Below are 26,584 nucleotides of genomic sequence, written 5' to 3' on the forward strand. Positions count from 1 at the left end.
CACATTTTCTTTCTGTGGTCAGATCAAGATGGGAGCCAAGTCACAATCAGAAGCCTTGGTGTTTAAAAATATAAATTGGAATGAAAAGAATACATTAAATAAATCAAATGCAAGACTAGAATTCAGATTCTAACTCCATTACTTCCTGATTTACTTTGATATTTCCCAGTAGGGATAGGTATGTAACCTACCAGACTCACCAAGCTCTAAGGGTCCACTTTCAAGGGGTGGCCTTGGCTGGAGGCTGCCTGCAGACTTGACCTGTGTGGCTAATCAGTCTTCTGATTGACATGTTAATATCTAACTCTGGGAGAAAAAGCTATGTTAAAATGAAAAAAGTAATATGTGAAAATGTTACTCTAAGGTAACATTTTCTCTTTCTGCCAATTTAAAGGCTATTTGAATGCTATTTACAGGCATCATCAGATTCTTTCTTTCTTTCTTTTCTTTGCCTTTATTTTTTGTTGTCATTCTATGTTTTCTGTCCGTACCACTATTACCAAACTAGTCTAGGTCCTCATCTCCTCATGGCAAGGTCGTAACTGGTCAACTTATTTCAAATCTCTCTCGTCCAACTCCAAAGAATATTACTATATAAATCTACTTTAAATTATGGTTTAATACATACCCTTTTTTATTTTCCCACCTTCTTTCATACCAAAAACTTTCAATGACTCCTACTGCCTTCAAAGTTAAGTCTGAATTGTTTAGCATGGCATTCAAATTCCTTCACATCTGGGCCCAACTTATTGTTACTTTTCTACTGCATGAACTCTCCACTCCAGCCAAATCTACTGACTCCCAACAGTCCATGTGCACCCATAAATCCATGCCTTGCTCATTCCTGGAGTCACCTCAAGCTCTGCCTCCTCTTTGAAGGTATCTCTGAAAGTACAGATTAGAAAATGACCCATTCATTCTTTAGAGTCATTTGGCAGTGAGTGTTCTGGAAAGTGACTATTAGCTGTAGATAGCCTATCTCCTCAATTAGAATGTAAACTTAAGGATGAGAACAATACATTTTGCCTTTTATGTATACCGTATCCTCAGTGTCTTGATATCATGGGTGCTCAAAAAATCAATGCTTAGAACTTGTCTTGTCCATTTGTAGCAAAAACTGCTAAACTTCTTCAGAGTCTAAGACAGAACTTAAAAAGTATTGCCCTTAACAGAAGAGAAGAGCTGCCTCTTGAAGTATCTTTGGGAGTCAAGAAGTTTATGGCTTCTTCTAGGCCTTTGGTATGATTTCACCAAATTAACACATTTCTCCACATCCTCATTCTCTCTGTATACTGTGTAATATTTCAGTGTAGCCTTGAAAGCCTGGTAGTCTCCCTGTTGGTTTCAAAGTAAAGAGCTAGCTTCAAGAATAGACTAGGCCTCTGATACATAAAGATTGTAATCAGGACACTTAGCAGGAAGGATGATACAGGAGGTAGTTATACAAAAAAGCAAAGCAAAGAATAGGCCCCTGCAGTATGATGATGAGGGTGATAAAAGTCTTAAGAGATGAAAAGATAGATTTGTAAAGTTTAATGAAATAGCAAAAGGATCCAGAAGGAAATATCTTAAGCTATTTTTAGATACCATTTAGCTTTTCAGCATTCTCATGGGTAATCATACCTTGGTCTCAAGTCTGATAGGAAAGAGCTTTAAAAAAAACCACCAGATATTTGTCTAATACAATCAGCTGATTTGCAATAATATCTAAGAAAATTAACAGTTGCTTTTATTTCACACCAAAGTACTACTGCTCATGGGGAGGGCATCCAGCATGTTGTCAACAGGGTCTTCGGTGATTATGAAAGACATGAAAATAATACACGCCATCTCTTATTTCATGGAATTTGGCAACTCCACATCAGAAATGTTGGGGAGCAGTCTGGCTAAGCCTTGAAAGTAGGAATGAGAAACCCAATTCAAAGTGGAATGAAGGTGATAATCTCTCCCAGGAAGGAGGAAATTGCTGGATTAAACAGAGATAATTAAGCCTAATTAGTGACTTATAAAGACACAAACAAAATAAAAAATAGTTTACTTATAGTAAATAAAAGAAAAAGCTATGTTAAAATGTAGAAAGTAATAATTTTCCTGGGCAAGAAAGAATGAATGCTTAGAAGTAGAAGATTAAGAAAGAGTTTTATAAGGTACCTGATTTGCTCTCTTAATGTTAAAATAAAATTAGAAACAAATTATGCTTATATTGAATTAAAATTATAATACTATATTCTATTGTTTCATATACAGATTAATGCATGATATTAGAGGGGAAATTTTTGTTAAATACATCTAACATTAAAAATAACACAAAACAAAATTTGTAAAAACTTTGCTTCCATTTTATATTTCCAGGAAAAGTGTTTCCTATTGATATTGATTTCCTTTTTTCTTTCCTTCTTGAGACAAAAAATCCTAGAATTCTAATTTAATTTAAAACAGAATCCTAAAAGTATATGGGAATGTGGAAACCATTGCATATATTCCCATGATTTCCCAGCATAAGCACACTAAGATAAGTCTAATGAGGGGATGAGTGTTTCTTTTTATTTGAAAATATGTACAAAAAGGAGCTTCCATGGCCTCCTCTAAAACTCTTTTCAACCCACAAAAATGTTTCTTCTGTTTAGGCAATATTTCATGTGTTAATGTAGAGAAATTCTCATAATACATAGACAAGATCTGATTATGAAGTAATGTGCTACAGGCCGCCCATGAGGGTAAATTTTACCACTTTATGATCATGTAAGCTGTTTACTCGTGTATCTGCAAATATGGCTTTTGTTTTAAAATTTAGTTTTCTATGTTTGCTGTTTTGTACACAAATATTCCATTTGCCAACTAAATTTTTTATGTACAGATTAATCACATAGTGTATATGTCACATTTTGATATAGTTCAGGCCTGGCACGGAGGCTCACACCTGTAATTCCAGAGCTTTCAGAGGCTGAGGCAGGAGGATCCCTTGAGCCCAGGAGTTTGAGACCACCTTAGGCGGACAATGTTGAGACTCTGTCTCTACAAAGAATAAAATTAGCCAGGCATGGTTGTGTGTCCTAGCTACTTAGGAGGCTAAGGCAGGATGATCCCTTGAGCCTAGGAGTTCAAGGATGCAGTGAGAATTGAGCCACTCCACTTCACTACACTCCAGCCTGGGTGATAATGTTAGCCCCAGTCTCCATAAATGTATAAAATATAGTTCTCTCTGTTCTAAGGCAGAGGTGGTAGGTAAAGGGTTAAATACAGCCTATTTACTTGAGATTTTATCTTTCCCTAAAGAGATTCTTATGAACATTTAAATTTTCCTCATTTTGAATAAGAACATCAATTCCTCATGTTGCAAATTGCAGTCTTCCTCAGGAAACATGTACTCACTATCTACCTCACACACTAAAAAAGATTTTCCACCTTCACTCAACTTTCCATGTACTAATAGAGTAACCTAGATTTTAAAATGAGTCGCATCCCACATTGAAAAATGTAGGAACATGGATTTTAAGAAGGCAAGCTTTCTACTCTAAGAGACTTTTCTTTCAAGTTTACATGTTTAAATTGTGTGATAGTAAATTTCAATGCTGACAATTTAAGTTGTTTTGGAGGTATTTGGGCTATAAATATTCATGCATGCCTGTTGATTTTCAAATCAGAAATGAATCTGAAGACTATGAGAATTTAAAAATGGCACTTTAAAGCCTGCCATATGAGTCATTTTTATTTTTTAGAGTACCGACCCAATAGAACCTAAATGGTTTTACAACCTTCTGAAGTCTATGGGTAATATTGTTTCTCATTTGGTTTCATACTACAATTTCTTCTAAAGAACATGGATGCACTTGGCTGCACACATATAAAATGTATTAATTATGTTTCTATCCTTTTATAACCAATTTTTTACAAACTGAGCTGAGCAGTAACAATTCCATCAGAAAAACACATGTCGTCAATCTTCTTTGTGTGTGTGCTTTATTTTAGAGTCAAATGGTTATCTTATTAAAGTTGTGAGAAACCAAATCTTGAAATCCCCTCTTTTTAATAACAATTATTTTACACATAACTAAAGATTTAATTTAAAATTATACAATCCAGGTACACATTAGAGGACGACTGAAGTGCAATCAATTACTTCTAAAACTAATCTCTAATACTATGACTTGGCAGATCAAATGTTTAACTTTTTAAAATGTTTCTTAATAGGAATAGATATATTTCTATTACATATATATATTCCTATTATATATATAGTATGCCTTCCTTAATCTCTTTTGCAATGATACCTTGATTTTAACCCAAACATTTACATTAAAAAAGTAATTTTCCTTTTTATAAAGCCACGAAGTGAGTTACAAGTATTTCCCTTAACAAAAGTTTATAAAATATTTACCTTGAAGCAGTCTAAAAAGAAAACATGTAATTGTGGATCAGATGAAAGTTAAACTCCACTTGAAACAAGAGAGGATTATCATAAACATACCTTGTCCTTGGGTTACTCCATAAAATTCAGCTGCTATCCTTGCCGCTTCCTTGCGGTTGCCTTTCACTATGTAGAAATGACTGAGGATGGCAAGGCTGATTTTCACAAAAAGCTTAAAACAGAACAGCGAAAGTATTGTAAAGTAGACATTGGATAATTGTTGAGCAAACGGCCGATTTTCTTCTAACACCGACATTGCTGCAGAAGAATCTGCGGCGGTCTTTAGTTGGATCCAAGTCTCAAATGTGCCTGGCTCTCGTCCGGGATGCTCCTGAACAGCTGGTCCTGAGGAAAGAAAATATCAGCTGGTAGTGATGCCTACAGCTCAAAATATTTATACACTCCATAAAAGTTCTTCGCAAACTCCTATTGGTCTGAAAATATTCCATGGAAGCAATTGCATCACGTGTCACAAGTCTCCTGACTTTCCATTCTCAATATAAAATGACACTCCACCTCTGTGCTCCAAATTTCAAAATCCAGATATTGAAATATATATGCATATCCTTTCCATTTTATATATTTAGTTATCAAGAACAATTTGAAGACAGTGTATGGGGTTCCCATTGTTAATGTAAATGATATTCATATCGAGTAAAGTTGTCTATCATTTAAGGCTTTAAAATGGCACTGTACTATTTGTAGACCATGAGCTAAATCAGTACACAGTCCATGGCTTGTATTTTAATGACTACTCATCAAATTAACCAATTATGTTATTTTTACTGATTTAAAAAAACATTTTTCTTACAAGTCATTACACTGGAACATCACAGATTAATAACTTAACACGGTTCCTTCATCCAATGGACACTTTTTAAGAACTTGGTATGTGTCAAACCCTTTGCTAGATTTTGAAGTGACAAAGACAAGTAGAATGGTCCCTGCCACAAGGAACTTAGAGTCTAGTGGAGGAAATGGAAAAGAAATCAGGTAAATATAAAGAAGGTAAAAACAGGTATTAAGGGAGCACAAAGAGGAAGCATGTAAACCTGGGAGGGAGGTGTCAGAAAAGACATATCCAAAAGAATTATCAAGTAAACATACGCATTTCATCAAGACTGTCCAAAACCAAGGAAAACAATATACATTTTAGGCCTATAATCTTTGTTAACCCAAATATGTTTTATTCATTAATGAAATGCATCTGTATATAGGTATCCTTAGGCAACTTATATTTTAAAAGAGAAATAGAATAAATTATTAAGAAAATGACATACAGCAGCAATATTTTGGCATTTAAGCCAAAAATGATATGCCAAAATACAAAATATCATTTCTTACAGGGAGCTTAGTTACATATTTCTATGACTGGGTTTGGGGCCTGTTGATTGTGGTACTTGCTTCCTAATTCATTTGAGAAGTTCCAAAATAACAAAAAACAAACATAAGAAAATAGAAGTGGCCATTCTTGGAATAAGGAGCATACCCATGACTGGTCATACTAGTAAGTGTTGTGTGCTTCTCTCCCTCGGTGTATCCATTTTATGCTGAGTATCTTAACTGACTGGACAGATTTACCTGACACATTCCAACACAGGAGAAATGGCTGTAAAATAAATATGTCAAATAAAGCAGGCTGCTTCTTTCCCCAATGAATGAATGGCTCTCAGAAAATAATAATAATAATAATTAGATCTATATATTAGAAAGAAATTACCAAGCTTCTTATGAAAATGGCCCCTGGTATCATTTTCAGAGGCAGAATACTGGCTAGGCAGACATTAATTAGACCCAGTGTGCCATTTCATATGTGCTTTGGGAGTCAGTGAAAATTAACTTCAAATAGAAGATTAACAAAATGTTCCTCTCTTTCACTACTGGTAAGACTGTGTCAGTTGAGTCAATACATGCTGATTCTTCTATGGTGAGTCTTCCCTCTGGCATGATGATGCCTGACTCCACACTAGAGAGGTATGCCCGTGGACAGCTGGGCCATCACAGTGCTCTGAGTCACTGCAGACTTCCTCTTCAGTGCTTCGGGATCAGAAATAAAACCTGCCTTAGTCACGTCTAAGTGCCCATCTAAGGTTTCAGTCCTTTCTCTTTACCAGTAAGTGCTATCATAAATAATTGTCTTCGCATGAGCTAATCAGGAGCCTGGATTCTTTGGGGTTAAGAAACATTTTCATTTCACTAAGGCTGGAATCATCGGTGCATTAAGTTTAAATCCTTCTAGTTTTACTAATACAAAAAACTACAGTATAATATTTAGGATTTTATGTCAAGATATCAGGTTTTGTTTTTATGAATTACTTGATTCCCATTTGTATGTTCTGTTGGTATACTCTCCCTCAGCAAATTTCACCCTCTCTGAGTCTGCTAATTACTAAATAAAAATTAAGCCCAAATAAAATGACTCATAGCATACGAATTCTTCAAGTGGAAATTAGATGCTGTATTTTTCATATTATAAACGCTTCCAAATAACACTATGAACAACTCTGTTAATACTTAAAAGACACATAACCACATTAAAAGTATTGTGCATCTATTTTCCTGGCATTTTCATTTCGTCAGGAAAATAAAATATTGATTAGTCATTGAAGTGACTTACTGAGATAAATGTTTTTATAATATACCATGTTGAGAGACTGTGGTAGCAAGGTCTAGTTGATTAGCTCAGTATATCTCAACTTTCCTAATTTTGTTAGCTTCGATCAATCAGTCAAACTAAAGTGTTGAAACTGAACTCAACATTGTAGTACTAGAATGAATGATGTGAGAAAAGTTAAAACATAGGAAAAATCATTTATTGAGGGTACGTTGGATGCTACATGCATATATTTATTTATTTATGAATTTATTTCATCTTAGGGGGGTGAATATTATTATTCACATTTTAAAAATGAGAAAAGTTGGGCTCAGAGAGCTTTAGAGACCTATAAAAGTTAATTATAAAGAACAACACTATTTGAACATAGTTCTAACTAAAATACATGCTCAAGTTGCCTCTAAAATTTTCTATTTTTAAGCACTTACAATCTGATTGAGCAAATACGACTCATACATACAGAGATTGAGACAGAGTCACACAGATTCACAGACACATACACATACTGCCCCCACCCACGACACACACAGAAGAGATCATACAAGATTATATGTAATCAGGAACCTAAATTACTCCAGTAAGCTGCATACATGCTACAATGATTAAATAAGATGGAACTTTATGTGCGCTTACTAAGTGGGAATAAAGAAAGAGGGGCTAATACTGTTGGACTATTCAAAGCTAAGTGTTGGTGAGTGGTTTCCACTAAAACAACAGAAAGTCAAGTAAGGTAGTTGAGAGTTAGTACATTAAAAAACATTGAGCGTTCAAGGTAGGGTCCAGTGATTAAGAACTATTAGGTTGGTGTAAAAGTAATTGCGGTTTTTGCAACTGCTTTTAATGGCAAAAATCGCAGTTATTTTTTCACCAACCTAACAAAAGGATGAGGATAAAGGAAAGGATGTTGAGTCTGGCCAGAAGAAGTTCACTGATGACCTTCAACTCAGTATTTTAATAAAATAATGGAGTGGGAATCAGGACATCAGTGTTCAGGGGATGATCCTTACAGCAGCTCCTCAAGAAGAAACGCTCCCTGGCTTTCCTCCTGCTGTCACCTTTTTAGGAACTGCCTCTTTTTCTCACCTCCATGCAGGTATCAGAGGACAGACTGTACAGCCGACCCCTAGGACTCCCCACCTTCCTCCTTTCGAGTCTCTTGCTCACTCTTCTCCTTCAGTGTCCCAGAGTACTACACGAATTGTTGCTGTGTTTTAGGGACTTTGCTTCATGTCACTCAGAAGTTGAATATGAAAATGACTTTCAAATATAACCAGATTAGCCTTTAAATTCTCATAAAAGAGGGAATTTTGCATCTAGAGATTATGGGGCTAAACTGTTTTGACTTAGCTACAGTATTGATCCAAGCTATTAGATTGAAAATATCAATGGGTTATAATAAAAATTGCGTGTTTCTAGTGCTTTCCAGTTGCTAAATCTTAACAGGAGGGAAATATAGTGACCCACCTTCGATGACCTTTTTTTTTTTTTTTTTTTTTCTTGAGACAGGGTCTTGCTCTGTCACCCAGGCTGGAGAGTGCAGTGTCATGATGACAGCTCACTGCAGCCTCGACCTCCCAGGCTCAAGCAGTCCTCCCACCTCAGCCACTGTAGTAGCTGGGACTACAGGCATGAGCCACTGTGCCCAGCCCTTTAAAAAAATGTCTGGTAGACATCTAAAGGCTCTAATTGACTTTTTTTATTCCTAATATTCCAAAAAACAAAACCACAGGGATACATTCAAACAGCAAGGTTGCTAATGTTCAGCATAATGGCGACATGTTCCTAGCCCTAGAACAGGGTTGTTGAGGATTATTTGTATACAGTGAATACAAACTAAGAAAAGTCATATACCCATAAATTTGAAGGCCAATGATGGCTGATAAAGGGAAAGAGAAAAAAGTATGCAAGTTGTCACGGTAATATATTCACTATTGCATTTAAAACACTACTGAAAACATAATCCTCATTTTTTTTGTTTTGTGAAATCTCGTGAGAAAAAAAAATAAAGGCAAATGGAACCCTTAGATGTTCATTTGGTCTCTTGCCATACTACCAGTATGATGGAACAAAAGAGTAATTTCTGCTAGCATTGTGATAATCCATCAAAAAGATATTTAGCCACAAAAAGGGTCATTAACTTAGACTGCATCCAGGTTCTTTGGAGAAAATCACTAGCTTTCCCCAGAACACAGAACAGCCTTTCTCCTAAAAATTGAGTTACATCAAACATCACATATTGAGATCTGCCCTAACTAGAAATTGCTTTAGGTTAAATGAGCTCTATTCGTATATATATGTTGTCCAGAAAAACTTGGCTGAAAGCTGGTAGTTCTGCATATATAAGAGTTTAAAAAATAGATTTCTTAAAACCATTAAAATTCTTGCTATATGCCAAGAAATTTTCTACACAGTTTATTAGAATGAAATGTTAGGAATTTGGTTTTTTGTTTTCTTATAAACCCAGCATTTCTTTAATGGATCGTATCTTGCCCAACCTAAGTCCATGTACTTATCTCCCGGCTCTCGAGAAGGTTACTTGACCAAAACTAGCCAAGAAAGATATTTCTGGGACTTCTGCTGGAGTTTTGGAAAAAGTGCTCTTCCTCTGCAGGGGGAGGCTAAGATAGCAAGATCTAAGCTTAAAGATGCTGGAGGTATAACTGACAGTAAAGAAATAGCTCGCCTAGGAATTCAGCCAATAAAAAGAAATGCACAGCTGAGATTTGAAAAGGCAGCATCACGGTACCTTCATTGGAGCACCTGGATCTAGTTAGTTGCACCTGAAGTAGCTGATCTGACAGTAATATAGATTTGACAGTAATATGAAGTAATAAAGTCATTTTTGCTGTTGTTAATCAAATCAATTTGAATTGAGGGCTTCTCTCACTTGTACGGAAAAAAAACCCCTGATATATTTATATTTTCTGGAGTCCTTGTAAAGAGAAATTATGAAGCGGGTATCATTATCCCTTCTGTACAACAGATGAAGAAACAGAGACTGAAAGAAGGTAAGGAATTTGCACAAGATTATACATCTTGAAGTGGAAGTACTGAGATTCCCACCCAGGTTTTTTGCCCTGCAGTGCCTCTCAGGTTATTATTCAGATGTTAGTGTTGAAACATGGATAATTGCCTGGTTTAACCACTGTCCTCTGAGGTAGCCACACCCTGTGATCTACAGTGTACATTTGTGCCCTGTGTGGGTTATAAATAGCCTTTGGCTAAATAGTGGAGTATGTCACTGGGCCAAAGCTGATGTGCCTCACCCAAATCTTCTATGATTAAGAATTTGTTCTAACCATCTCATTTTAACTAACCACATATTTGAAAGACTATTGAAAGGGAAACCTTTCAATGACATCATTTTGAAGATCCAAAGCATGGGACTACATTAGAAGTGAAATGATACCACAGTGATCTTTCCAGTACTTCCAGCATAGCAATTTTTTTTTTTTTTTTTTTTTTTGAGATGGAGTCTTACTCTGTCGCCCAGGCTGGAGTGCAGTGGCACTATCTGGGCTCACTGCAGCCTCCATCTCCCAGGTTCAAGCGATTCTCCTGCCTCAGCCTCCTGAGTACCTGGGATTACAGGCGCATGCCACCATGCCTGGCTAATTTTGTATTTTTTAGTAGAGACAGGGTTTCACCATGTTGGCCAGGCTGGTCTTGAACTCCTGACCTCAGGTGATCCGCCCGTCTCGGCCTCCCAAAGTGCTGGGATTACAGGCATAAGCCTCCGCATCAGGCCCTGCATAGCAATTTGATCAGCATTCTTATACACGTGTATGAATTAATAATGATCATTTCTTGAGGTAAAATATATGATTTACCCTGGAACATGGCCAATTGGCTAATAAAATTGGGGTCTAGGAGGACCCTGTTTAGGATTCTAAGATTATAGTTTCTTTAACAACATAAGTACTGCCTTGTGTGCATGCATTTCAAATCTATTTTAACTCCAGTTATGAATTTTAGAGAAAAAAATTATATTTTAAACATGTTCTTATTAGACTTATAAATTTAATACTTTTTATATAACATGAGCAATACTAGTACATAGTTCACCTTTCTCCAGCAGTTTACACAGTCAACTTAGTACTCTTCCTGCTTCCATCTCCCAGCTCCCTACGATCCCATAGAATATGAGCAAAGGGGAGCCTCAGCACATGTCTGCTGGGGCTGCAGGAGTCACTCTGGTGACCACCACTCAGCCTCTGGCTAGTCCCTGCTAGCCTCTGGTGCTTCTATCCTGGAGGAAGGAAGATAAGCACTAGTCATGCACTAGCTGGTAATATTCCCATCTTCATACTTGCAGGCAATAATACAAACCTGGAAATTGGGAACCTGTCAGCTGTCTGGGGAATTCAGCATCTGGCTGAGTCCCCTCTCCCTCATCCCCACTGCAGCGAGGCAAGCAGGAGGTAGAATTTATTCTTCCACCTGTGTATAGAAGACAGAAAATGAGCTGGGCTTCATCTTTTCCTTGTTAAGCTTAATGGGATAAAATAATATGTGAAAAGGATACTACATATTCAACCTTGCTCTAATTTCAAATATCTTACCCAGTGTAGTAAAACATAAACTAAGTTCAAGTATTGCCTCTACCATAGATGTGTAATCTTGGACGATCTGGTAACCCTCCCTGCACCTCCACTTCCTTACCTGTAAAGAGTTCCATGATAAAAGTATCTACTTCACATGTTGGGAGGTTTAAATGCAATAATTCATATGAAGCACTCACTCGCCTGCACTGTAAGAGCTCAACAAATATTAGCTACATTGTAATTATTACTTTTACTTTGTTATTTAAGTTAAATTAGAATCTGTTGCATGCCAGGCACTGAAATTTTACTGTGTGCTTGTCTAGTGAAATGTCCAACTTCCAATAGTACCATACTCACTGCCTACTGTAGACATGTAACTATATAAAGGAAATCAATCAGCCCCCCTCTGGTGTTAGGAAATATATCCATTTCTATAATCAGAATTCATAACCAATGTTATATATAAAACAAATGATGTATTTTTTGCTCCATGGTATGAAAGATAGCTGTAACTTCTTAAGAAATGTACACATCACAAATATTCTGAGTAATTTCATCTTCCCAGGCTCCATAACAAAGTCACTCAATAGTTTGATATATCCTGGGAAGACAGCAGATATTTTGGGTTTTAGAAATAAAACATATCCCACACTGGCATCCATGGCTCCTGATTTAAGAAATCAAGGCTCTGGAACTGGGAACTCTTACCTGAAGATGTGATCGTGGCAATGATAATAAGAATAGTAACAGCAAATACATCTTGTTGTATATTACCGTAACCCTAACGCAACCCGTGAATTAACTGAAGTTGTACCAGTAGGGAAATGAAGACAACAAAAAGTACACGGCCACCTTAAAGCCTCGACATTTGCTCTGATGAGCATCTAGCAGCTGACATGCTGTATGTCCCAGGAAAATCAGGATAAGTCAGCAGAAAGTGGTAGGCAGGCAGGGCAAGGTCTTCAGAAGAACTAGTTGCTCTAGTTATGAGCCGTGTGAACTCAGGCAAGTTCCTTAATCCCTCTGAGCCTGTTTTCTCAACGATGAAAACAGGAAAATAGTTATGTTACAGGCCCATTGGAAGGGTGTATGAGAATATGCCCTGCATTTTTAATTTCCTTTTAAAGGCAGCCCCGCAACTGGTGAGCCCCTGATTTTATCCTTTTCAAAAACAGTAAACAAACCTGCCCCAGAGTAATTTTTCAAACTCCAGCTTACCGCTACCAAATAACTGCAGCTTACTGCTCCGCGTCGCAAGTCAAGATGTGGCTCCTTCATTCACACACATCTCTTGAGCGCTTCCCGTGTGCCAGGTGCTATAGGGCACACAACAGTGTGGGGATTACAGCAGCGAGCAGGCAGGTGAGGACTGTGCTGTCATAGTGTTAAACTCATCAGCTGACACAGTCGGGACTTGCAGCAAGTAAAATACCCAGTTTTTCAAGCAATCGATTTTCTCTCGATCCTGCACTTTGTTTTGCTCTTTCCTTTATCTAGTACCAGAATGTCAAATCAATAAAAAGTCGAGTGAAGCCTTTATTTGTCCACCAACCTCAGCATTAGTTTAATGTTTATATTCTCTCCTTGTCTTTCTCACTTGGACAATTCTCAAGCCTCTATTTTGCTTTCCAGTTACATTCTGGCTTCATTTTTTTTTTTTTTTTTTTTTTTTTATGGTAACTGCCTCCGAGCTTGGCTTGGTCACACTTTCTATGTAGAGTCCTTTGGGGAGCTCCCCCGCCTGGCCTCTGTCTGTAATATCACCAAAGGCAGTAATGGGCTTTGGCAGTGTTTTGCAAAGACCAACAAAGATGAATATCATTATACTGAGGTCCATGAAACCAAGATCAGATTTTTTTTGTGAATGGCAAGGGAAGGCAGACTGCACAAGAACACTGAAGGGACTGAACTCTTCAGCCTCTTGCATATTTATCACATGAATTTGGCAACTCATACATGGAGAGAATGAAAACTCGCTCCCCGAACAAGTGAGGAAACATTCATGAGGAACCGAATGGGGTCGACAGGTAAGCACGCTTTGCCCATATTTGACTTGTGGAGAGTCTCTTCAGTTTACCAACCTTGCTACTCAAATGAGCACATTTTATATGTACCTAATTTTTGTGCAATGGTTTACTGTAAAGAACATTTGCAGCATATGAAAGGGGCCTGGTCGTTTATTCTAAGGTTATATGAGATTATGTTGGAGGCATTCCTTGCCACATATGAACATCTCTAGAAAGGCAGCATTGCCTCTGGAGGAGGAGCACCTTGGTTTGAATCTTAACTCTCCTACTTTTCCTCCTGTGACCTCGGGAAGTTAATTAACCTTTCTATGCCTCCATTTCATAATTCGTAAAATGCGAATACTAATAATAACTATCTCAATAGGTTGTCAGAATGATTAAATATTAAATATGTCAGTACTTAAAAGTATTTGGAATAATGTCTAGCACATACTAAGTGCTTTATAAAAATTTGTTAAATAAATAAGTTTTGAAATAACAAAATATATGACAAGTAAAACCAACTGTTGAAGACCAAGTTGGAAGATGAAGCCTGGTACGTAGCTTGGTGTAAGAAACTCCAATAACATAGCTATATCCTAAGTTTAAATATGAATGGCCTCTCATTACCCACAAGAAATTAAAATTCAAAGGAATCCTGAGCATGTTCATAAAAGATATATTCATATTAACCAAAACTGAAAACAACTCAAATTTTCATCAAGAGGAAACAAACTAACTCTGGTACATTTACATAACATAATACAGTAGAACAATAAAAGGAATAAGCTACGAATATGTGCAAAATGTAGATGAATCTCAAAAACTTACTTTGAGCAAGAGTACGTTATATGATTTATTTTATATGAAGTTTAAAGTCAACAACATAAATATATGACTATTGAAATTAAAGGACATTGCTGCGGGGGATAGGATGAGTTGGAGATTTGACTAGAAGAGGAAATGTGGTAACTTTCCAGGAATATTGGAACATCATCTGTCTTTCAGTGATGGTAACATGGGAATACACATTTGGGGGAAAAAACCCTCAACAAATTTTTATTTAAGATGTGTGCAATTCTACACTGTGTAAATTATACTGCAATTAAATAAAAACTATATTGCAAAGATAAATAAATCTTCAGTTCTGGTAACGGCAGGCTAGTTAATTCAGAACAAACCTCCCATTGGAGACAATGATTTCTAGATGAAACATTAAACCATGCTTCTAGTTGCATCTAAAAGCTATAAAGAAAATGAGAAAGCATCAGACCAAGAATCCAGGACAAATAGAAAATCCAAAGAGGAGAGCATGGACTCTGGGACCACTTTTTTTTTCAGGTGCCTTTTTATTTTACTTTTTTATTTTTATTATTATTATTTATTTTATTTTAAGTTCTGGGATACAAGTGTAGAACGTGTAGGTTTGTTTTACATAAGTATACGTGTGCCATTGTGGTTTGCTGCACCTATCAACCCATCATCTAGGTTTTAGGTCCCACATGCATTAGCTATTTGTCCTAATGCTCTTGCTCCCTCACCCTCCAACCCCCCACTGGCCCCGGTGTGTGATATTCCCCTCCCTGTGTCCATGTGTTCACATTGTTCAACTCCCACTTATGAGTGAGAACATGAGGTGTTTGGTTTTCTGTTCCTGTGTTCATTTGCTGAGGATGATGCTTCCAGCTTCAACCATGGCCCTGCAAAGGACATTATCTCATTCCTTTTTATGGCTGTATAGTATTCCATGGCATATGTGTACCACATTTTCCTTATCCAGTCTATCATTGATGGGCATTTGGGTTGGTTCCAAGTCTTTGCTATTGTAAATAGTGCTGCAATAAACATCCATGTGCATGTTCTTTATAGTAGAATGATTTATATTCCTTTGGGTATACACCCAGTAATGGGATTGCTGGGTCAAATGGTATTTCTGGTTCTAGATCCTTGAGGAATCACCACACTGTCTTCCACAATGGTTGAACTAATTTAAATTTCCACCAAAAGTGTAAAAGTGTTCCTATTTCTCTGCAGCCTCACCAGCATCTATTATTTCTTGACTTTTTAATAATCACCATTCTGACTAGTGTGAGATGGTATCTCATTGTGGTTTTGATTTGTATTTCTCTAATGATCAGTGATGTTGAACTTTTTTCATATGTTTGTTGGCCGCATAAATGTCTTCTTTTAAGAAATGTCTGTTCATATCCCTTGCCTCCTTTTTGATGGGGTTGTTTTTTTCTTGTGAATATGTTTAAGTTCCTTGTAAATTCTGGATACTAGACCTTTGTCAGATGAGTAGATTGCAAAAATTTTCCCCCTTTCTGTAGGTTGCCTGTTCACTTTGATGATAGTTTCTTTTGCTGTGCAGAAGCTCTTTATTCTAATTAGATCCCATTTGTCAATTTTGGCTTTTGTTGCCATTGCTTTTGGCGTTTTTGTCATGAAGACTTTGCCCATGCCCATGTCCTGAATGGTATTGCCTAGGTTTTCTTCTAGGGTTTTTATGGTTTTGGGCTTTACATTTAAGTCTTTAATCCATCTTGAGTTAATTTTTATTTAAGATGTGTGCAATTCTACACTGTGTAAATTATACTGCAATTAAATAAAAACTATATTGCAAAGATAAATAAAGGAAGGGGTCCAATTTCAGTTTTCTGCATATGGCTAGCCAGTTTTCCCAGCACCGTTTATTAAATAGGGAATCCTTTTCCCATTGCTTGTTTTTGCTGAGACCACTTTTGCTCCAGGAACATTTGCTATGAGGAAGAGATGGCAGGGAGATAAAGCAATCCTCATACAGTCTCTTCAGGAAAGCGGAAATAAAAGTTGAAGAAACAGGCCTACCAAGATTGAGGACCATAGCAAATGGAATGCTGAACACTTAGACTTGACATCCAGAAGAGCTGAAATCTAGCAGTAAGAATGAGTAAGCCAGAAGTACATGAGCCCCTTCAATGTCTGCATGGGCAATAAAATTTTAATCCTTGAAATTGGATTAAGGTGATTCAAGATTGCTAGTGCCCATAGGCACCTAACAAAAAGAAACAATGCTCTCTGGAGGAAGGTAATGTTCTAGGGCCTAAATTTTTCTATACATGTTTTTCAAACAGGGTTAGGATTCATTCAAAAATAATAAGGAAACACACAGAAAGACACATCAATATGAATGAGAACTAGCACAAACAGATATAGACCCATAGGTATTTCAGATAGTGAAGATAAATTTATTTAGTATTTTATTAAGCTCACAAAGATAGAAGTCAAATTTTAACATTTCAGCAGAAAAGTGGAATCTTTAAAAAGAACATCACAGATTTAAAGCAAAAGAAAAAAATGAAAATGAAAAGAAAAAGAGAAACCCTAGAACTAGAAAACATAGTGTCTAAAATTAGTAACTCAATGGTTGGGTGTATCATCAGCAGATAGATGTAACTCATAGTTAGCACCTCTGAAGATGTCAGGAGAAACTACCCAAGATGAAAGAGACGGAAGCAAGAACAGGAGGAATTGAGGATATAATTAGAAAACCTAACATATATTTAATAGAGGTCATAGATTTAAAAAATGGCCAACAGCAAAATTTGCAAATGTAATGGCTGAGAATTTTGCAAATCTAATGAAAGCTATCAATCCACACATTGAAGAAGCCCAATGACTCCCAAGCAAGCTAATTAAAAATAAAAATCTGGGCCAGGTGTGGTGGCTCAGGCCTGTAATCCCAGCACTTTGGGAGGCCAAGGCGGGTGGATCATGAGGTCAAGAGATTGAGACCTTTCTGGCCAACATGGTGAAACCCCTTCTTTACTAAAAAAAGAAAATACAAAAATTAGCTGGGCATGGTGGTGCTTACCTGTAGTTGGAGCTACTCCGGAGTTTGAGGCAGAATAATCACTTGAATCCAGAAGGCAGAGGTTGCAGTGAGTCGAGATCGTGCCACTGCACTCCAGCCTGGTGAAAGAGCGAGACTCCATCTCAATAATAAATAAATAAAAAAATAAAAATAAAAATCTGGGCTGGGGGCAGTGGCTCATGCCTGTAATCCCAGCACTTTGGGAGGCCGAGGTGGGTGGATCACGAGGTCAGGAGTTCGAGACCAGCCTGGCCAAGATGGTGAAATGCCATCTCTACTAAAAATACAAAAATTAGCCAGGCACAGTGGTGGGTGCCTGTAATCCCAGCTACCCGGGAGGCTGAGTCAGAAGAATCGCTTGAACCCGGGAGGCAGAGGTTGCAGTGAGTCGAGACAGTGTCACTGCACTGTAGCCTGGGTGACAGAGCAAGACTCCGTCTCAAAAATAAATAAATAAATAAAAAATAAAAATCTGATATATGCTGAGGAGGCGGGGCCAAGATGGCCAACTAGAAGCAGAGGCCGTGGGGGGCTCCTATAGAAAAAGAAAAAACAAGGCATAATAAATGTGTGAAGCCTTCACTGGCAACCAAGGTATCCAGGTTCTCTCATCAAAATTGACTAGAAGGCTGGCATGACCCACGGAGAGAAGGTTAGGGTTCAAGTGATTCTCCTGCACCATCCTCCCAAATAGCTGGGATTACAGGTGCCTGCCACCACACCCAGCTAATTTTTTGTATTTGTAGAGACAGGGTTTCACCATGTTGGTCAGGCTGTTCTTGAACTCCTGACCACAGGTGATCCACTCCAACCCAAATACCCATCAATGATAGCCTGGATAAAGAAAATGTGGTACATATACACCATGGAATACTATGCAGCCATAAAAAGGAATGAAATTACGTCCATTACAGAGACATGGATGAAGCTGGAAGTGATCATCCTCAGCAAACTAACACAGGAACAGAAAACCAAACACCACATGTTCTCACTCACAAGTGGGAGTTGAACATTGAGAACACATGAACACAGAGTGGGAAACAACACACACCAGGGCCTGTTGGGGGGTGGGGGGGGGTGAGGGGAGGGAACTCAGAGGACAGGTCAATGGGTACAGCAAACCACCATGTCACACGTATACCTATGTAACAAACCTGCACGCTCTGCACATGGTTCCCTTTTTTTTTTAGAAGAAATAAAGAAAAAATAAAAATAAACAATAAAAATCTTCCTTGTCAAGAACTGTGAAGAATGTGAGACTTTACACTATTTGTAATCTAGTAAGTTAGGCTGCCATAATTTTGTGGCTGTTAACAAAACACATTAGCCTCCTAGGTCAGCCACTTTATTTCAAGTCACAGGACTTTATTATTCATGGCACAGCAAGCAGCAAGAGTATAGTGTTTGCATCAGTTCCTCTTGCCCACAGGGCAACAACAAAGGGATGAAACTATTGTATGTGCCATGCATGCAGTAGTTTCATGTCATGGTTCAGGAACTCCAAGATTTAGGAACCCAGATCTTTTATAGTGGGCAGTAAGTTTACCTACACTTTACCCTGGAGGAAGATCACTACGCTTATTATGCTGAATGGTAAACAAAACAAGCCCACCCTCTGATCCAAACACATTTACCTCCATCTTCCAAGCTATATGCTATACAAATATCCTTGAAAGGATAAGCCTATATAAAAAAGGCAGCAAGCCCCTTTTCACACACACAAAAAAAAGCACAGGCATACGAGACCCATGGAGAACTGTCTGCCAATCTTATTCACTCCTTTTTACACCATCTTGGCTTGTAATAAATTTTCCCATTATGTCCACTGATGTATCAACTTTTGTGACTAATCTGATCAACAGAAGCTAAGATCAAATATATTCAATTTGTTTTCTACAGAACATAATGAAGACTACTGTTAACAGGACTCCAAGCAATAGGATGAGGACAGCCTAGAGTATTGATTTTAACCATTCCTCCCAGAGTTCTGGACCCCATCAGCTGAACAATTCCCACAAACAAATTCCCACAAACCTGCCTTCCAGTGCTGAGGTTTCATTGATCACTTTAGCTAAAGTTCGGGGCAAATTTTGCATCACCCTTTCTAATTGGAGGACTCTCATTGTAGAAATAGTTACCCTCAGATATGCATAAATAATGAGAAAAATTACCCTCGGAGTATGCAAAATTGCTCTGGGGAGAAATTTCAGGTAATCAAGAATAGCTTCATTTTGGAGAGATCTTTGCAGTCATCTGAGGGATACATGATCTATTGGTGGTATTTTTCTAAATCATTCTTTAGGTACAATCCTCTTAGTTTTCAGGAGGAAGGCAAGGTTATGAATGGCTTCCACACAAACTGTGCAACCCCATGAATTCTCATGGTGTCCTCAGAAAGTATTGTTCGAACTGTTGGGCCACTCTAAGTGATAGGTACATTATATGGGGATGGAGGAACACAGGTTGACAGTGCCTCTAATGTGGCTTCCTATTGGCGTTAGGCTTCCCAGTTTAATTTTATAATTGAATCTAGTCCTTATTTTGGAAGGGACTGCCTGAGAGCAGTCAGTGCAACTTGTCCAGTTTATCCATACCATAGCTGGTGACATTTGCCCACTCCATGGAAAAACTGCTTGATGGCTCAGTGTGGGGAGTGCAGAAGACATCTGGAGACATTGACAAGGAGGCAGGAACTGAGCCATCTCCTGCTGTTTCCAACAGAATTTATGATATGGTTAAGGAGAATGGTGGTCAAATTTTGGTTAGAGCCCTTAGGCTGGAGATGCCAGACCTATTAAACTGAAAGCTGCCTACTACGGTTTGAAAAGTCTGCAACAGGCCATTTTTCTTTTTCTTCTGCAACAGGCCTTTCCTTCATAAGGAAGGCACTCAGGGCAGATCTGAAGGGGAAAGATCATTAATGTCTCTCTCTTCCTATACCTCCCAGGGTCTAAGGTGTTCACTCTTCATGTTTCCAGGTTGCAGCTATTCCAATAGCTCAATCTTTACCTTTTTTCCAATTATCCACTACATACACTCAGACCTTTTGTCCAGAAGGGTCTGATGCAATAGATAGAAAGGGATTTTTATAAAACAGGGAGACCCATTATATCTTCAAGTTTAGCCTCTGTGGGCCATTGTAGTGGGACTTGACAAGCAGTGTTCACAAAGAGTCATCATTATTCTTGTCATAGTCTGATTGTGTTGCAATAATAGAATACCTAGGTAATTTATAAAGAAAAGAGATTTATTTGTCTCATGTTCTACAGACTGTGCAAGAAGCTGGCATGAGCATCTGCTTCTGCTGAGGGCCTCAGGCTGCTTCCACTCATGGCAGAGAAGAGAGGAGGCAAAAAAGGGTGTGAGATGCCAGACTCTTTTTAACAACCAGCTTTCCTGGGAACTATTAGATTGAGAACTCACTCACCCCTTTCCCCACACTCCCTGCAACCGGGAAGGCATTAATCCATTCATAAGGAATCCAGCCTATGACCCAAATACCTCGTTAGGCTCCACCTCCAACACTGGGGATCAGTTTCCACGTGAGGTTTGGAGGGAACAAAAGTCCAAATTACAGGATTCCTCATGATCTATGAACATGCCAATCCCCCCCAAAATTAACCCATGTGGCTTAAATTTAAATCACCAGGAGCCCTTTTTGATTTGGCTGCCAGCAGAAAGGTGTACTTACCAGGTTGGCCTGGATTGCTATTATGGGAAAAGAAAGGTGCATTATGCCCAGAAATGCTCAGGGCAGAATCCCCAGCTTTCAAAACACATCTATGTCACTCCCCACCCCTTTCATTCTGATCATTACCCAGGAGGCAGATGTGGATGTCCCTTTTTTGGAAATAGCCACATTCAGTGACCAATCTGCCATACCACAGTGGATCAGGAGGAGAGGAGGGAGATAAAGTCAGAAGTCTTTTTTTACTTTTATTTTTACTTTTTGAGGGAGCTGTTCCAAAGCTCAACAATATCCGACGCGTGGAAGCATGGAAGGTCTGTCAAGTACCTTGACTATCCATGCACTGCTGAGGAGCTTTGATAAAAAGCACACCATTGTCAGACTGAAAATAATCCAGAAAGCTGAACACAGGGCATAGATTAGCTTCAAGGGCCACAATGGTTAGCTGACTGGATTGTGCTATGGTTTGAATGTTTGTCCCTCCCAAAACTCATGTTGAAATTTAATTGCCAATGTAATGAGGTTGGGAGGTGAGGCCTTTCAAAGGTGATTAGGCTCCAAGAGCTCCCTGTCATTGGTGGGTTTAACACCTTAATATAAAAGCTTTCAGGAGTGGGCTCCCTCTCTTGGTCCTTCTACCTTCTGCCACATGAGAAGTAGCATTTCTCCCCTCTGGAGGACACAGAGGGGAGATATAAATTTCTGTGAGATATAAATTTCTGTTCATTATAAATTACCCAGTTTGTGGTATTCTGTTGTAATAGCAAAAATGGGCAATGTACTAAGATAGATTGGAAAAAACATTTCACAAATAGAAAATGTTAATGGCGGTGAGGCACCACTGATAGCTCCAGGAGAGGGTCAAAGCTCTGACATAGTCTGCCAAGAGTATGTAGGGCCATGCCCCACACCATGCAGCCTTACTTATGGGAGACAAATTAGACACCTTCTGATAGGAGTCCCACGTATGAGGCAGTGGTAGCCTCTGCATCACAGTCCCCATTCTCTGATGGCAGCAGTCTAATGTTGCCATGTTCAGTGTGATAATGAATCTAGGAAAACTGAGTGGTGCAGATTCAGTCAGCAGCTTGAGTTAGTTTCATCTTACTGGTCTCATCAGGATGGGCCCTTACAGGCCCATGAGTGACCCAGATGGTTCATTTGGTATTTGTGATTTGTTTCCATAGTTTGTGGCCCCTAAATGAGTATCTTTAATTTGCCAGTATGAAGTTTTCCAAGGGGCAGACCAAACAGCTAGGCTATTGGCAACAGCTCAAGAATCAGTAAAAATAGCTTCATCCAGGGGAGGGCCATCCTGTCCTGGCCAGAGTTATGAGAATGGAACTGAATTATACCCATCGAATGGAGTAACCACGTTCATTTTCTGTTTTGCACCATTGGCACTGAGGCTGAACAGCCCAGGCAGCCCAACGGATGCCATATGGTTTGTGTTTAGCCAAACTGTCAGTGAACCAGGCCCAGGCACTTAGTTGATTATGAAAATAAACTATAGCTACACAAATATGACTTTTACAAACATCATGTTAAGAAAATGGTTTCCCCATACCAAAAAAGAATACCATAGAATTTCATTTATAAAGTTCAATAAAGGTAAAAGTGAACCATTGTGTTTAGGGATACATATTTTGGTGCTAAAAACCATTCTAGTGTTTACCAGGTTAGTGATTATCTTTGGAGGTCAGGAGGTATGACAGGGAGGGGGCCATGCCCTATTTCTTAAACTTGAATGATCACTTTATAATAATTTGCTAAGATATATACTTGTTTTGTGCATATTTCAATATATTGTTAACTTTCAAAATTTCTTAAAGGGGATGAATCCCTTAGCATGTTAACATATAAAGGAGTTAGAGTCCAAAATGAAATTCACTTGATCTTGTGAGTTACCAGAGTCAAATAAATCTTAAGCTAAATTAAGATCCAAATATGATTTTCCTAATTTCTTATTCTGCTCAGGTTCAGTCTGAGGGATTCTCAGGAAATGGAAAGAGTTGGAATTCCTGCAGCCTTCCCAGCCTTGTTCTCATTTGAATGACTGTAATACCATTAGGGCATCAAAAGCTGCATTCACTCAATGCCAGGTCTCTTGTGTTCCTCATTTATCAAAGTGTCCAAAGAGATACAGGACATATAAGATTATCAGCAGCCCTGGCCCCATACCCAACAAATGCAGAAAACAAGCCAATCCTCTGCTGATGGCAATTATCCCAGGAAAAATTACATTCCTACCACCCAGTATCAGTGTTGCCAAAAGCCAAGGTAGAAACTCAGTAGTATCAAGTGTAGGAGGGTGGATACACAAAAAACAAAATCTGGGTTGTATCTTCACCAGATTGTCTGTCAAAAGATGCCAAATTGTACAGCATCTACAATTGTGAACTTAAAAGGAAGAAATTTCTCAGCAAGAGCTTAATTCGAGTACTATAAATTTACCATATCTGGAAAAGAAAGCCCACCTATACATAATCTTTCCTCTTTCAGAGAGTGGTGTTTGTGACTAAAGTCTTTTTGCAGAGATTTGAATGCAATGAAGACAGTTCCAGTCACCAGTCTTGTTTAAAGTTCCTTTCTTCCTTCCTCCCTCCCTTCCCCTTCCCTTCCCCCTTCCCCTACCTTCCTTCTTTTTCTTTCCTCTTTCTTTTCTCTTCCTTTCTTTCCTTTCTTTCTCTTCTTTCTTTCTTGCTTGCTTGCTTGATAAGGTCTTGCTGTGTCACCCAGGCTGGAGTGGCAGTGGCCCAAACACAGCTCACTGCTGTCTTGACCTCCTGGGTGCCAGTAATCCTCCCAATTCAGTCTCCTCAGTAGCTAGGACTACAGGCATGCACCACCATGCCTGGCTAATCTTTGCATTTTTTGTAAAGACGAGGCCTCCCTATGTTGGCCAGGCTGGTCTTGGACTCCTGGGCTCAAGCGATCCTCCCTGTGTTGGGATTACAGGCATGAGCCCCATGCCCTTCTAAATATTTTACTTCCCAACCAGTAAAACATCATAATTTCTATTTCCCTTTTGAGCCTCTATTTCTGATACTAAAGCTTTATGTGTGAGCTCTAGAAGGTAATATGGCCTCCTGAGAATCTGGTAACCAATCATTTTTAGTCTTGTGCCTCAGAAGTTCCTGCCACTGTCTTTTCTTACGGAACTGCTTAGGTTTAAGAAACTAGTATTGAGAGGAAGTGTTCACCAAGTTCTCCGCCTTTGGTTCACCTAGAAAATCGCCCTCAACAAACTCCTGAACTGAAGCTGCATTGGGGAATTTTAATGCCTGCTCCCTGAGAGCCCTGGGGAGGCCAGTGTAAATTTCTCCAGCTACTATCTTTTCACCACTTGAATTCTACAATCATCTGAAGGATGTTCCTTCAATCTGGGTGGTGCAAGTTTGACCAGCAGCTTGGTTCATTCCCTCTATGTCACTTCACAGTTTATCTATTGATTCTTCCAGTATTTTTATATTTGATCCCACAGATCAGCCACATGAATTCAAGGTTATTGTTCCACAGTGCATCTTGCACCTCAGTGCAGAATCTGGGGCATCCCAATTTTAAGTGTGGAATCTTATTTTGCTATTGTTTGGTAGGAACAAAGCTGTCAGCTATCCTGTCCTGTAAAAGCAGCAGATACATTCTGTGTCCTAACATCTAAAAGTTCTGTATACAGAAAGACCTTCCCCTATAATGAATTCCTCATTCCCTCTTGTGTCACACTAGCACCTATTGAGGCCCTTCGCCCTGGAAATGTTTGCCAAGTGTACCCTAAGGGGAAGCTGTAGCAACCTGTGCCCTGAGCAACCTTGCTGATATCCTTACAGCTCTGCTTCAGAGAGATGCTGTACACGTGCTGTTCGCTTAGAGCTTCTCACGCTTGTAATTCAACCTTCATTAGCAGCGGCCACTCACCCATGGACACAGCAGAGTGCCCATAAGGTGCATGCACCCATCAGACCAACATCCACGTGAACCATTTTACTAAGGTCAGAGCAGTTAAAAGCCGACTGCACCACGGTAAATGGCTGACCAGACTAATAAAAGCCTCCACAGGGCTTCAAGAAGGAATGCAAGTATGACTTTTGTGGGCCCTGTGCACTTTTGCCTTTCAAAGCTCCTTTCATGAAAAATTCTAAGAAGCTATTTAAAAATATTAAAAGTTACGTTTTACATTTGCATTGGTATAAAGAACACACCCAAGCTGGATTATATGTATTTCTTTTCTTCAGAGTTTAAAGACATGAAAACCTTTTTGTGGGCCCCTGAAAGTGTCCTTTGTAATGGGCCTTCGGCATTACGCCTACTGTGACTACAGATTAAGTCAGCCCCAGCGCCAGGTCAACATGCCCTGCTCACATGAAAGTCTAAGCCTGAAGCCCAGGCTTTAATCACTCCACATGGAGTTTTGTTCTTTATAACGTATTTCTCAGTGAACCTGGCCAATGTAACAAAATGGTGATGTTCTGAGGGAACTGAATAAATAACACCTTGACACTCCCACAGAAAGAAGGCAAATAAGATGAGAATCAAAATATCACCTTTATTACTAATAGATGCTAGGGTGAAGAATACCATCCATTTGACTCCTACGTTTATTATATAATTGGGAAGGCCAGGCACAGTGGCTTATGCCTGTAATCCCAGCACTTTGGGAGGCCGAGGCAGGTGGATCACCTGAAGTCAGTAGTTCAAGACCAGCCTGGCCAACATGGTGAAACCCTGTCTACTAAAAATACAAAAAAATTAGCCTGGTGTGGTAGCAGGCACCTGTAATTCCAGCTACTTGGGAGGCTGAGGCAAGAGAATTGCTTGAACCCAGGAGGCAGAGGTAGCAGTGAGCCGAGATCAAGCCACTGCACTCCAGCCTGGGCAACAAGAGTGAAATTCCATCTCAAACAAAGAAAAAAAAAGTTGGGACATGTATCCCCCAGTCGCAGGCAACGCTGGACTGAAGCAGATTGCTCCGGAAGGCACAGAAATGCTTGTTCCTGCAGAAACAGCAGAGAATGCCCCTTCCTGATAAGAATCTAGCTCCTACAAGAGAAAATATGAAATGGAGAAGCTGAGGTGAGCATATCCATGTTGTTCTCCAAAGACTTGTCAATCAGATTAATCACTGTGTGACAGATGCATCTGACAGCAATAAGTTAAGCATACCCTGAGAATGACCCTATGGTCTGAGGTAAGAACTCTTGTGTCTTATCTATGAAGAACATTTGAATCCCTGGCCCATTCCATGGAGTGCGGGCTGTACAGGAGATGGAGGCCTTTTGTTTTGTGTTGAATGAAGGTTGCCAGGAGGAGACTGCTAAAGAGAGGGTGATGGGTGAAAATGCTGTAAAAATCGCATGCTTTTCACAAGTGGCTGCACTTCTCCTGTCCAGCCTGCCCCCACTGGTCCAACCTGTGTGTAAATCTCTTCAGTAAACCCTACATCTCATTCACTGACTCTGGGTTTCTTTTTCAGC

At 39.0% G+C, this 26,584-nt stretch overlaps 1 protein-coding gene across 2 annotated transcripts in view, besides 1 other annotated feature; it reads right to left on the reverse strand.

The window, feature by feature from the left end:
* The window catches only part of ASB5 (ankyrin repeat and SOCS box containing 5), a 63,852-nt gene extending 50,772 nt beyond the window's left edge, over positions 1 to 13,080 (reverse strand). The window contains exons 1-3 of one of the 2 annotated variants that reach the window (XM_005262759.2): positions 12,785 to 13,080; positions 11,352 to 11,462; positions 4,469 to 4,753 (exon numbers count right to left, since the gene is read on the reverse strand). In XM_005262759.2, coding sequence (XP_005262816.1) covers positions 4,469 to 4,664 — 196 coding nt within the window. In that variant the 5' untranslated portion in view covers positions 4,665 to 4,753; positions 11,352 to 11,462; positions 12,785 to 13,080. Of the gene's footprint in view, positions 1 to 4,468; positions 4,779 to 11,351; positions 11,463 to 12,784 lie in introns of those variants that run through there. The other variant, NM_080874.4, reaches the window with a different exon arrangement.
* Positions 26,069 to 26,565: a transcriptional cis regulatory region, noted in NCBI's record as "candidate enhancer chr4.3423 targeted for multiplex CRISPR interference". NCBI's record gives its function as "positively regulates SPCS3 gene expression in K562 cells {active_cell/tissue: K562}" and the evidence as "EXISTENCE:mutant phenotype evidence [ECO:0000015][PMID:30612741]".

This window comes from Homo sapiens, chromosome 4, assembly GCF_000001405.40.
Source record: "Homo sapiens chromosome 4, GRCh38.p14 Primary Assembly".
Lineage (NCBI taxonomy): Eukaryota > Metazoa > Chordata > Mammalia > Primates > Hominidae > Homo > Homo sapiens.